A 14,726-nucleotide genomic window follows, 5' to 3' on the forward strand; every position below is an offset into this window, starting at 1 on the left:
ATATGGAGGTGGATGTATCTACTCGCAGACTATGCCCATCATTTCTAAGCCTTCCTTAGATTCTTTCTCCACAACAGATACCCCCACTGATAGTCCCACACAGTGTGTTCTAGTATAGGTGATTCAAACACACAATCAAGTTTTAGTACAATATGAAGAAACTTGGGGTCCAAAGAACCTGAGCTGCCATGTTTCACAGCTCCAGCGGGGCACCGTTCACTCATGCTGCTGTGCAAATCACCTGTTGCCACATTGTTTATTAGCTCTCTTGGAACAAATGTAAAGTCTCTAATAGGAGCTTCCTAGTTGTCACTCTCATCTTTGTCTACAGCCCCTTTCGCCTAGCTCTGACCTTGGGAGTTGACATTTCTTCAGGCTAAAATAATAACACCTTACTTTCACTTATAGTTAACAAAACGCTTTCAAATACTTTATATCACATGAAACTCAATACTCTCATGATGTAATTTGGATATTTGTCCCCACCCAAATCCCATGTTGAAATGTAATCCCCAATGTTGGAGGTGGGGCCTGGTGGGAAGTGTGTGGGTCATGGGGGTGGATTTCTCATGAATGGTTTCGGCCATCCCGTTGGTGATAAATGAGCTCTCACTCAGTTCACATGAGATCTGGCTGTTAGAGAGTGTGTGGCACCTCCCCTCAACTCTCTCTCTTGCTCCTGCTTTGGCCACAAGTCACACAAGCTTCCTTCTGCCATGAGTAAAAGCTACCTGAGGCCTCCCTAGAAGCAGATGCCCCAGGGCTTTCTGTACAGGCTGCAGAACCATGACATGAGTCAATTAAACCTCTTTTCTTTATAACTTACCCAATCTCAGGTATTTCTTTATAGCGATGCAAGAATGGCTGAATACAGGGAGGTTAGGCAGTTATTAATGCTCTGTTTTATAAATGAAGAAACAAATGCTCAGAGGTCGCTGGCTTGCCAACAGTCACCCAACTAGGAAAGAGCAGAGGTCATGACTCCTGGCTTATTGCTTATTCTATCAGAACAAACAAGCTTTAAATTATAAACGGAATCACCCTCAGACCACTGTTGCTGGTGCCCAAGTCAGCCTCAATCTCTCCTACTTAAGACCCTAGGAAGATTTGTGCATGCTCATGAACAAGCCCTTTCAGCTGCCCTGTGGTCCTCCTTTCCCCTCCCCTCCTTCTTTGGTTTCCATCAGTCCCATCATGGCTTACTGCTGGTGCCTGCAACCGGGAAGATGGAACTAGTGCTCAGTGCTGGAGCCACCATTTTGGGTCAACTCAAATGTTCTGCAGGGATAAGGGGAAGGGGAGGGGGTCAGGAAATTTTCCAGCAGCCCCTACTGTTGTCCTGGGGCAGGAAGAACTCTCACTAGAGAACAAGAGGTACTGGGACAAGTTTCTGCATCTGACTCTTTCTTTAGGATGACTCCTTTTCCAATAGCCTCTTCTCCAACTCTTCTTGGCCCTCCATGTAAGTAGTCTCTGGTGGCCTGCCCCTTTAATCCTCCAGATATGCCTTGATGCATCTGAATTTCAGTCCAAGCTGGATTAAGAGGATCCAGACAAACAACTGCCCAGGGTGCCAGAACACCATGGATATAAATCTGAATGACTCCACTTAATTCCCCCCAGTCATGTGAACATTGGTTTCTCTCCCAGGACACAGCACCTGTAAGTGGTCAATTTAAAACCACTCTTCCAGAGTTGATCTATCCTTGTGGAATACATGCAGATGTACCATGTCCATGTGTAAGAGGCTTGATGCAACCATACCCTGAAACTGGAAATCACAATTGCATAAGTTTTGAAACCTAATAGGGTTTTGAACCCCAATAGTGCTACTTACTGAGATCAAGTAATCTAATTATTTTTACTTACATTTTAAGTCCTTTCATACTCCTATCATTAAGTTGCCTTGTTTAGAAAATTGCAAAGGAAAGCTGAAGCAAGAATAAGAACATCAGAAAAGGGAAAAATATTTTGCCAAGTTTTATCAGTACCCGGACTCTGTTTTGGCTGCTGGGAATAAATTAATAATCTGTTTCAACATAGAACTTTTATTAATAGAAAATCAGTTTATTTCTGAAGTCACTAAATACATGTTGAACAAATATTTCAAAAATATCCATTTGAGGCTGAGCGCAGTGGCTCACGCCTCTAATCTCAGCACTTTGGGAGGCCAAGGCGGGTGGATCACTTGATCTCAGGAGTTCGAGATCATCCTGGCCAACATAGAGAGACCTCATTTCTACTAAAAATATGAAAATTAGCTGAGAATAATGGCATATGCCTGTAGTCCCAGCTACTCCGGAGGCTGAGGCAGGAGGATTGCTTGAACAAAGAAGGCAGAGGTTGCTGTGAGCTGAGATCACCCCACTGCACTCCAGCCTGTGTGACAGAGGGAGACTCTGTCTCAGAAAAAAAAAAAAATCCATTTTAAGGGGCACCAAGTTGTTAGCCTTCCAGGATGCTCACAGTTTTGGTCTAGCCCTGATCCTAGAGGGCAAATCACAGCAGGCATCTCCAAACTCACTCGGCCTTTGGCTTGCTCTTCTGTGAAAGCAACTAAAGTAGAAGCTTAACAAATGTTTGTTAACTGCGTGCCTTCAAAATCATATGAATCTTTGATGTTCGTTTTTGAAAGAAGAAGTAAGCTGGAATTTAGAAATCTACTCTGCAAGGGATTTTGCCATGAAAATATTGCTGTGGTAATAAGATTTGATCTGAGGAAGTAGCAATGGTTCCATTGCCCCACCCAGGCAGGCTGGGATCCTCTCTTTACTGTGGCTCATTTTCCTCTACTTCTTACATAAGCCCAGTTTAGCCACCGTTTTGGAACAAAGCTGTGGGCGAGCCTAGAGCCAGAGTGAGTGATCAGAGAGGATGTTTTCAGAGGATACCATTTAGGGCCTCCTCTTGGGGAGGTCAGACTCCATAAAAAGCATGTGTGAACTCACACGCCCAAACACAAGCTCACCATCTACCTGTATTAGCCTCTAACCCAAGGCTTTGAAATCGGAATGTGCATACAGGTCAGCTGGGGATCCAGTTAGCGTGCAGACCTTGATTAAATAGGTCTGGAGTGGGTCAAAGTCAGCATTGCTAATAAGCTCCTGAGGGACGCTGCTGCTGCTGGTCCTCAAACCACACTTCGAGTGGCAAGCTCCATCCCGCATTCTCTACCTGACTCAGGAGCACAGCAGTCACGGTGTTAGAGTCTAGGGACAGGTGAATTAGGAAGATGAGAGTCAAGAAGAGGAGATGAATATACAGGCCAGTGACTATATCACAGTGTTACAAGTGTTCATATGGGTACATATAGATGTGCGTAAGCATGGGAAAAGGGACTGAGTAGAGGGGACCAAGGCTAAAAATAAATCTTGCAGAAATCAATGGATTTTTTATCCATGGATTCTCTTGACAGGGTCTAGGAAGAAATGAGGGCAGTTTGGCAAGATTGTATATTTAGCACCTTGGATGGCAACCTCCCTGGGGCAGTCAGATTGTTTACTCTCTTTTGTGTTCTGTCTAGTTCAGTGCTGGCGAATAAATTCTCCATAAATACTTCCAGACAGAATGAGTTAGTTACTTACTACATTTCATTTTTTATTATGGTAAAATATGCATAACATAAACTTACCATTTTAACAATTTTTAAGTGGACAACTTAGTGACATACATTCATGCGGTTGTGCAACCAACACCATACCTTTTGCTAGAAATTTTTTTTTTTTTTTTTTGAGACGGAATCTGGCTCTGTCGCCCAGGCTGGAGTGCAGTGGCGCGATCTCGGCTCACTGCAAGCTCCACCTCCCGGGTTCACGCCATTCTCCTGCCTCAGCCTCCCAAGTAGCTGGAACTACAGGCGCCCGCTGCCACGCCTGGCTAATTTTTTGTATTTTTAGTAGACACGGGGGTTTCACCGTGTTAGCCAGGATGGTCTCAATCTCCTGACCTCGTGATCTGCCCGCCTCGGCCTCCCGAAATGCTGGGATTACAGGCTTGAGCCACTGCACCTGGCCGAACTTTTTCATCATCCTAAACTGACGCTCTAACTCCTTGATCCTTCTGCTCTCCCCAGCCCCTGGTAGCCACTATTTACTTTCTGTCCCTATACATTTAACTGTTCTGGGTACCTCATAGAAGTAAAATCATACAGCATTTGTCCTTTTGTGTTTGGTTTATTTCATGTAGCATGTCTTCAAGGTTCATCTATGTTATAGCATGTATCAGAATTTCATTCCCTTTTAAGGCTGAATAATATTCCATTGTGTGTGTGTATATATATCACATTTTGTTTACTCATCCATTGATGGATACTTGAGTTGTTCTCATCTTTTAACTATTGTAATGCTATGACATAGGAATACAAATATCTGTATAAGTACCTGCTTTCAATTTCAAATCTTTCAGGTATAGATCCAGAAGTGGAATTATACAATGTAAATATGATGTAAATAAAACAGAATGGAATTACCAGATAATAGGGTAATTTTATTTTCATTTTTTGAAGAACCACAATACCATTCCATTTAATTTTTTAAATTTAAAAACTTCATCGTTTGTAATATAGGAAATAATTTAAGAATCTAGATTCTCCTTGCTGGGAGAACATGGGAGTGACCTTTGAATCTGGTAATTTATGAAATGGGTTTTGCTGGCTGTACCTTCCCTATGAGATGTTGTGAAAGTGAAGCTGGAGGGAGCTATATGTTGCATCATTTCATCTGTGCTGGATGGGCCAGTGGATGGGACTGTCAGGCCTTCAGATTTCTGGACCAACCAGCCCAGGTCATAACTTAGCAGAGTCTCTCTCAGCAAAGTCTCTCTGCTGACCCTACAGCTGCTGAGAAGAGAGATGGCCCTGAATCAAAGCTGCGTGGGTTTCTCATCACAGGAGAACCCGGGAAGAGCAAAGCCAGCAAGACTCCTCATACCAGAGGCTGGATGGTTTCTGCAAATGGTGACACCAGCCGTAACATTTTCCAGGGGGTTGATCTCAGAGGCAGCCAAACCTCGGGGAGCACCAAAGCAGAACACTCAGAGGGTGCGGCTAAGGCCAAGGCTGGGGAGGGGCTGGTCTGCAGCTGGAGGCCATTAAAATGTGGCAAAGTCTCCCTTCTTTGTTCTTAGGATTAATTTAAAGTGCTGCCATCCTGTAGGGCAGGGAGTTACATTCCTGGAATGGGAGACTCAGGAATATCCAGACAGAATCCTGACTTTCAAACACAGGATGTCCTTTTTTAAAAAACTATTTATTGGAATAACAGACTTTTAAAAAACCATCTATAATCATCTCCCCTCCCCCCCACACAAATTCACTGTTTCCATTTTTCCATGTTCTCATTTATGGCTAATGCACTTTTTGTTGCTCTTTTTACTCATCAGTCATACCTAGATTTCTCTTGTCTACTCCTACTTCTGAAGGCAGTTCTACCCAAATTATTGTCATTTTCAGGTTTCTGGGATTGGAGGAGAGAAGGGTGAGTCTCCTTCCTTCTCACCACCCCTTCAACACACACACACACACACACACACACACACACACACACACCCTCCAGGTGCCCTCTTCTTGGTTGGTAATGTTTTCACTTATCACTCACTCCAGTTATTGTCTAACTTCTATGGGAAAGGTGCCAGTTAGGAACAGAAATGTGCCCTTTTAGCCTTATGCCTGTTCTAGAGCTGAACATTGCAAAAGGATGCAGTGGTGATGTTTGCCTCATAGAGCTCCAGCGCCGGGCATTTTGCCCACCTCAGCAGTCCCCGTCTTCTTTCCTTGCTCCCGAGTTCCCTCTCTCCTTTCCTCCCCACTGATAATAGCCCTCAGAAACTTCACTTACACTAAGTGGCTAGGGTAAGAATTTACTAGGAGATTTATTGTGTTTGTATGCCACCACAATGTGTTCCATTTTTTATATCTCCCCAAGTCTTAAAACTATAACTTTGGGCCAGGCACGGTGGCTCATGCTTGTAATCCCAGCACTTTGGGAGGCCGAGGCGGGTGGATGAGGTCAGGAGTTTGAGACCAGCCTGGCCAACACGGTGAAACCCCATCTCTACTAAAAATATAAAAATTAGCTGGGTGTGGTGGCGGGCACCTGTAATCCCAGCTACTAAGGAGGCTGAGGTGGGAGAATCGCTTGAACCCAGGAGGCAGAGGTTGCAGTGAGCTGAGATTGCGCCACTGCATTCCAGCCTGGGTGACACAGCGAGACTCCGTCTCAAAAAAACTGACTTTGGCATTCCTTTTTTTTTTTTTTTGAGACAGAGTTTCGCTCTTGTCTTGGCATTCCTGGTAGACACAGGGTAAGACTTAGAGACCATGGGCTCTTTCTAGCATCTCTAAACTAACAAACTTCAGGTTCTTGACCATAATAGGATCATGACATGGGTCTTGGGGGCTTCTCCCCAGCCACTGTTGTTTCGCATCTCCTGTGTCACTGACTGACTTGAAAACTTCCTTCAGCTCAGGTGGCCCTGGTGACACTCCCAGGCTGTATATTTTGACATTGCTGCACTTCTGATGTTTCTGGAGACCTAACTCTAATTCTCAGTTGCTTGCTTAGCTTTCCCGTTCAGGTATTCTTTATTATGATTAAGCTAGCTACCCTAGCAGGCAGCACACACATCTTTCTTCTTGGAAATAGGTAGGCAGAAAGTTAGGATGCAGGATTCAGATTATAACTTTCTTTTTCCCTAAGTCTGGGCAAACATTCAGGTGTCCTGTAAGGTACTTTTTTCATTAATCAATGGGTTCTTTTAAGTAAAAAAACCTATAATCTAGATTAAATCCACAGACCATCTACATTAGGAAGACTAAATAACAGTGTAATTTTGAAGTCAGGGGGAGCCTGGGATTGAACTATCCCAGCTACGTGGGAGGCTGAGGCAGGAGAATCACTTGAACCCGGGAGGCGGACGTTGCGGTGAGCCGAGATCACGCCACTGCACTCCAGCCTGGGCAACAAGAGCAAAACTCCGTTTCCAAAAAAAAGACTCTTCCATTTCTGACCATGAAAGAGTAGCTGGTATCAAACTTGCCCTCCTGCCAAAGCAACCAGAAAACTGGAAAAAATATATGAAACAACTGTTTTCCAACATCGTACACAGGCATTACAGGGTAATCCCTGAGAGAAGGGAAACAGATTAGATGAGCCCTATATTTGCCCAACTCCCTTCCTGGGGGTACTTTCTGGACCACAGAGCACTAGGACATCCCAAGCAGAGCACAGCAGGCTCTCTGAGTTTGGGAGATTGAGATCTGAGTTTAGGGAGGTAGAGGTTGGAATGTTGTGGGGAGGATACTGGAAAGGAGAAAGCTACACAGGGAAAGAACCCCCAGAAATATGCATAAAGAGAACCTGTAAATCTTTGGATGAATACTAAGTTGCATAGACTTGGATTAAAACTGCACAAGGACTGGCAATAAAATAATCGTTGAAGATCTGTAAACTGAACAATTCCCAGTGTTCACACAGGAATGATAACTGTTAGTATTCCAGTCAGCTAAGGTGGAGAGTTATCACTGAACACCTGAGCATTCAGTAGAGTCCCCAGAAAGATCATGCCTTAGTAGTAAGATTATACAGCCCTAGAGTAAAGGCTATCTCCCTTAACAAAGCTTAAAAACAATCCTCAAAATAATTAAGCTGATATGAAGGTAACTACCCATGCAAAGCTCATCACTCTTTAAAGGAAGACAGCAAAATCTAGATACTCAATAGTATAATAGTCATAATGCCTAGCATACAATAGATACCAAAATATGTAAAGAAGCAGAAAAAATGTGACCCATATGAGAAGAAAAATCAATGGAAACAGACTTAAAAGTGACAATCATGATGGAATTTTCTAAAAAATAATTTAAACAGCTATTATAAATATGTTTAAGAGTTCAAGGTAAAATATAAGGATGAGAGAGACATAAATGGAAACTGTAAAAATAATGAAATGGAACCTCTAGTTCTGACAATACAATATCTGAAATGAAAAATTCACTGATGGACTTAACAGCATAATCAACACTGCAGAATAAAAGATCAATGAACTCAAAGACAGCAATAACACCTATCCAAAGTGAAGCACAAACAGGAAACAGTCTGAAAAACAATGAACAGAACCACAGTAACTTATGGGATAATATCAAGAGACTTACATACATATAATTGATGTCTCAGGAAGAAAAAAGGGTAGTGGAGGCAAAAAAATTTTTTTTGAAGTAATTGCCAATTTTTTCAAAATTTGATGAAAATTTTATACCACAGATCTTGAGTTTTTAATAAACCCCAGACAGGATATACACAAATAAAATCACAGCAAAATGCATCATAATAAAATTGCTGAAAACCAGCAAAAAGGAGGAAATCTTTAAAGTACCTAGAGAAAGGGACACGTTGTATACAGGAGAACAAAAATAGTAGTGATGGCTGACTTCCTGTCAAAAACACTGTAAGCCAGAAGACAATGGAAATGACATCTATAAAGTGCTGGAAGAAAAGTAAACCTTATAAACTAGAATTCTATATCCAGGGGAAATGTATCCTTCAAAAATAAAGACAAAATAAAGACATGTTCAGGTAAATAATAGCTGAGAGAATTTATCACCAGCAAATGCACTATAAGAAATATTAAGGAAGTCCTTCAAGTGGAAGGAAAACGGTACCAGGTGAAATTTGATACTTTCTTTATACAAAGAAATAAAGGGCTCTGGAAATGTAAGCATGTGGATTTATATAACAGATATTATTTTCTTATTTTGAAATTTTTAAAAAAGAGAAATGACTATTTAAAACAAAAATAACACTAATGTAGTCTGATATTTACAACATCTGTAGAAGAAAAATGAATGAAAACAACAGCAACAAAGGAGGGGAAGAGGAAATGAAAGTAGAATGTTGGCCAGGCGTGGTGGCTCATGCCTGTAATCCCAGCACTTTGGGAGGCCAAGTCAGGCTGATCACAAGGTCAGGATTTCGAGATTAGCCTGGCCAATACAGTGAAACCCCGTCTCTAATTTAAAAATACAAATATTAGCCGGGTGTGGTGGTGCATACCTGTAGTCCCAGATACTCAGGAGGCTAAGGCAGGAGAATCGCTTGAACCCGGGAGGCAAAGGTTGCATTGAGCTGAGATCGCACCACTGCACTCCAGCCTGAGCGACAGAGTGAGACTCCATCTCAAAAAGAAAAAATAAAAAAAGAAAGGCTCTCACATTATACATGACCGGTATAATATGATGTACAGGTACACCACAAGTTAAAGATGCAGATTGTAAGCAGGGAACCCACCTTTTTTTTTTTTTTTTTTTTTTTTTGAGACAGACTCTTGCTCTGTTACCTAGATTGGAGTTCAGTGGCATGATCTCGGCTCACTGCAACCTCTGCCTCCTGGGTTCAAGTGATTCTCCTGCCTCAGCCACCCAAGTATCTTGGATAACAGGCATATGCCACCATGCCCGGTTAATTTTTTGTATTTTTAGTTGAGATGGGGTTTTGCCATGTTGGCCAGGGTGGTCTCGAACTCCTGGCCTCAAGTGATCTGCCTGCCTCAGCATCTCAGAGTACTGGGATTACAGATATGAGCCACCATGCCTGGCCTAGAACCCACTTTTAGAAAGAATAGCAAAGAAATATAGCTAAAAGCTAAAATAAGAGATAAAATGAAACACTAAAAAACAAAACAACACAATCCAAAAAAAAGGCAGAAAAAGAAAAAAAGAAACAAGACAAATAGTAGGATCAGCTGGACATAGTTGCTCATTCCAGAACTTCAGGAGGCTGAGGCAGGAGCATTGCTTGAGCCCAGGAGTTTGAGATCAGCTTGGGAAACATGGCAAAACCTTGCCTCTACAAGAAAATTAAAAAATTAGCTGGGTACAGTGGTGTGTGCCTGTAGTCCCACCTATTCAGGAGGCTGAGGTGGGAAGATCATTTGAGACCAGGAATTCCAGGCTGCAGTGATCTATGACTGCACCACTGCACTCCAGCCTTGGTGACAGAGCAAGACCTCGTCTGTAAAAACAAATAAAAATAAAATAAATAAAATTAAAATAAACTTTAAAAATATCAGTATCGGTTGGGTGCAGTGGCTCATGCCTGTAATCCTAGCACTTTGGGAGGTCGAGGTGGGTGGATCCCTTGAGGTCAGGAGTTCGAGACCAGCCTGGCCAACATGGTGAAAACCCGTTACTGGTAAAAATACAAAAAAAATTAGCTGGGCATGGTGGCACATACCTGTATTCCCAGCTACTTGGGAGGCTGAGGCAGGAGAATCACTTGAACCTGGGAGGCGGAGGTTGCAGTGAGTCAAGATCGCGCCACTGCACTCCAGCCTGGGCTACAGAGGGAGACTCCATCTCAAAAAAAAAAAAAAAAAATTAGTATCATAGAGTTAAACACTCAACCATATTGAAATTACATTAGGCTGAATGCGATGGCTCATGCTCGTAATCCCAGAAATTTGGGAGGCTGAGGCAGGCAGATCACTTGAGGCCAGGAGTTTCAGACCAATCTGGTCATCATGGCAAAAACCGGTCTCTACAAAAAAAAAAAAAAAAAAGAAAGAAAGAAAGAAAGAAAAGAAATCACATTAAATGTAAATGTTTCGAATGCCTCAACTGTAAGTTAGAGATTGTCAGGAAGGGTAAGAAAGCAAAACCCGGCCAGGCGCGGTGGCTCACGCCTGTAATCCCAGCACTTTGGGAGGTCGAGGTGGGCGGATCACGAAGTCAGGAGATCCAGACCATCCTGGCTAACACGGTGAAACCCCGTCTCTACTAAAAATACAAAAAATTAGTCAGGCATGGTGGTAGGTGCCTGTAGTCCCAGCTACTTGGGAGGCTGAGGCAGGAGAATGGCGTGAACCCGGGAGGCAGAGCTTGCAGTGAGTCGAGATGGGGCCACTGCACTCCAGCCTGGGCAACAGAGCGAGACTCCGTGTCAAAAAAAAAAAAAAAAAAAGAAAGCAAAACCCAACTATATATTGTGTATTGTCTACTAAAACTGCATTTTAATTATAAAGTGACAGATAGGTAAAGGTAAAAGAATAAAAAAAAATACTATACAAACACGAATCTGAAAAAAATCTGCAAAACATGTATGTGATGAGATTTATATTTAAAATATATAATGAATTCTTATAACTCATTAATAAGAGCAATCCAATTTAAAAATAGGCAATATATATTAATAGATATTTCACCAAAGAAGATATATATATGGCAAAAAGACACATGAAAAGATATTCCACATAATTAGTCACTAGGGAAATGCAAATAAAAACCATAATTATACACTCATTAGGATAGCTTAAATTTAAAATGTCTGACAATACGAAGTATTGACAAGGTTGCAGAAGAACTGAAACTCTCATATGTTTGTGGTGGAAATGCCAAACAATATATTCCAAACTATTAGAAAATAGTTGGGGGGTTCCTTGAAAACTTAAACATAAACCTGCCCTATGATTCAACAATTCCACTCCCAGGTTTATTCCTAAGAGAAATGAAAATATATGTCTGCACAAAAACTTGCTCATATGTGTTCATAATACCTTTATTTATAATAGGCTAAACTGGAAATAACCCAAACATGCCTCACCTGGTGAGTGGATAAGCAAATGTGTTGTAACTACACAATGGAATACTATTCAGCACCAGAAAGGAACAATTCACTGACACAGGCAACCATGTAGGTGAATCTCGAGAGCGTTATGCTGTGTGAAAAAAGCCATATATCTGGAGGATCCAGTTCATATGAAATTTTAGAAGAGGCAAAATTATCGTAATAGAAAGCAGATCAGATGTTGCCAGGGACTGGGTGCGGAGGGAGGAAACTGACTACAAAACGGCACAGAGAACTTTTGGAGGAAATAGAAATATTCCTTATCGTAATTGTGGTGGTGGTTATATGACTGCTTACATTTGTCAAAACTCATCAAACTGTATGCTTAAATTGGTATATCATATGTAAATTATACCTACATAAAGCTAAAAATAAAAACCAAAAACAATTTTTAAAAAAGTGATAATCATAAGAAAGCTAGAGTAGCTATATTAATATAAGAAAAAGAAGACCTGGCCGGGTGGAGTGGCTCATGCTTGCAGTCCAGCACTTTGGGAGGCCAAGGTGGGCAGATCATGAGGTCAGGAATTCAAGACCAGCCTGGCCAACACACTGAAACCCCATCTCTACTACAAATACAAAAATTAGCTGGATGTGGTGGTGGGCACCTGTAATCACAGCTACCCAGGAGGCTGAGGCAGGAGAATCTCTTGAACTGGGGAGGTGGAGGTTGCAGTGAACTGAGATCATGCCACTGCACTCCAGCCTGGGCGACAGAGCTAGACTCTGTCTCGAAAGAAAAGAAAAGAAAAGAGAAAAAGAAGACCTTTCTACAAATCATTCCCAGAAGACTTTTCCTCACATCTCATTAGCCAGAATTTCCCCATATATTCATGCTTAAGCTGATCACTGACAAGGAGTAAGATTTGGAAGAATTGAAGTTTAGAACCCCGTAGTGCTCAGGCATAGGGCACTCAGGAATCACCCACTCAGACTAGGGATTCAGCCGGTCTCCCCTGAGGCAGATGGCTCAATAGAGGTTGGGTGGACCCCTCAATAACATTGAGGTTCTGTTAGAAAACAGGGAGGTGGTCAGGTACAGTGGTTCAGGCATATAATACCGGCACATTGGGAGGCTAAGGTGGGAGGATCACTTGAGTCCAGGAGTTGAAGACCAGCCTGCACAACATAGCAAGATCCTGACTCTCCAAAAAAAAAAAAAAAAAAAAAAAAAAGAAGAAGAAGAAAATTCAAAGAAAAGAGGAAGGGAAGTGTATGACTTAGGGTAGCTGTAGCAGATGTAACAAGTAAGCCCCCATATTTCAGTGTCTTAACAGCATCAAAACTCACTTCTCCCTGCCATAGCAGAACAATGCAGATGTTCCTGTTGGGGGCAGCTTTCTTCCATGTGGAGATTCAGGGACTCTTATTTCTCTTCCATCTTGTGGCTCAGTTATCTTTGGCCTCTGCTTCTAACTAGCAGGCCAGGGAAGAAAGTATGGAGAAGCCACACAACTACTTCTCAACCTGCCTTCTATCCAAGTTACACATATAATTTCTCCTCACACTCACTGTCAAGAACCAACCATGCAGCCACATCTAGATGGAAAGGGAGCTGGAAATATAGCCCCTAGCAGGAGAGCCGATTCCTTTGATATCACCACAGTGTGGAATGGGACACATTGGTATTCTGGTAGACAGTTGGTTGTCTGCCAAGATGGAGGTAGAGGTGGAAGCAATTTTGAGAGACAACCCAACAGCTTCTATTACATAAATACTTATTTTATTTTATTTTATTTTATTTTATTTTATTTTATTTTGAGACAGGATTTCACTCTGTCACCCAGGCGACAGTGAGGTGGCATGATCAGAGCTCACTGCAGTCTCCTCCTGGGCTCAAGCAATTCTCCTGCCTCAGCCCCCATGTAGCTGGGACTACAGGCACATGCCACCATGCCTGGCTAATTTTTTGTATTTTTAGTAGAGACTGGGTTTTGCCATGTTGCCCAGGCTGGTCTTGAACTCCTGGTCTTAAATGATCTGCGTGTCTCAGCCTCCCAAAGTGCTGGGATTACAGGTATGAGCCACTGTGCCTGGCCTACATAAATACTTTTTAAAATCCTTTCTCAGTTATCCCCAGAATAATCCTTTGCCATAAACATTATTATTGTCTCCATTTTATAGATGGGGAAACTGCACACAGAAAGGTTAAATAACTTGCCCCAGGTCAGCAGCTTTTGTAACTGGCAGAGCCAGGATGTTCCCCCAGGGTCTGTGACGCCACATCTGCTTCTCTCAACCTTTATTCTGCATTGCTTGATGAAAAATTTCACTGAATCGCTCTTCATCGTTTGGCTCAGATGAGTGTCAGAAGGAACACTTTGAGAATGGGCCACACAGATGAGGAACAGGTGTCTGCCTCACACTCACCAAGTGCTTTTTCATCATGGCATCAAGGATCATGGAAACGTTACACCAGCCACTCTTTTCTGGAGCAATGTTGACCCATGTCTGGGCAAATAAGAAAGGTTTCGTATGAGTATGTCTGTTCAAATAAATCCTAACTTTCTCACTGGGAAGGAATGACTAGTTCCCACGACTCACAGGACACCACCCCCCACCCCAATATCAAAAATTTCACCTTTTTTTTTAATACTAGCACACAGTGAGAAGTGGTACGCTTCTGTTTTTCTCGGTTTTCATCATAAGCTTTGGCTGTCCCTGGCATTCTGTATGCCACACATGTGCCAAACGCTGCAGCACAAGGATGGGCTAGGGGCAGGAAGGCAGCACAGGAAAGGGGCAGGTCTGGGAGAGGACTTTTGTTAGGTCAGTGCAAAAGTAAGTGTGGTTTTTGCAATTAAAAATAATGGCAATCAACCTAACACAATTTATTGAGATGGTAGTACATGCCAGACTTCATTTTTAAATTACAAATGAAAATGCTACTATCCCTATAGCTGCCATGTTAGATGAACAGGTTGGAGGAAGAGAATGCAAAATGAGTTCATTCTGATTCAAAGTTCTTGGTACATTACCTGAAAATGTGTTTACAGTGGGTGAATATCTTCCCCTAGAAAAGAAAGCCTCACTCAAGCCATTCACTTCTTTAATCAGAGCTCAGGAGCTTTCCAAGCTATTTTATTTTAAGCAATTTCCTGGTGAAAATCT

This window comes from Homo sapiens, chromosome 1 (assembly GCF_000001405.40).
Source record: "Homo sapiens chromosome 1, GRCh38.p14 Primary Assembly".
Classification (NCBI taxonomy): Eukaryota; Metazoa; Chordata; class Mammalia; order Primates; family Hominidae; genus Homo; species Homo sapiens.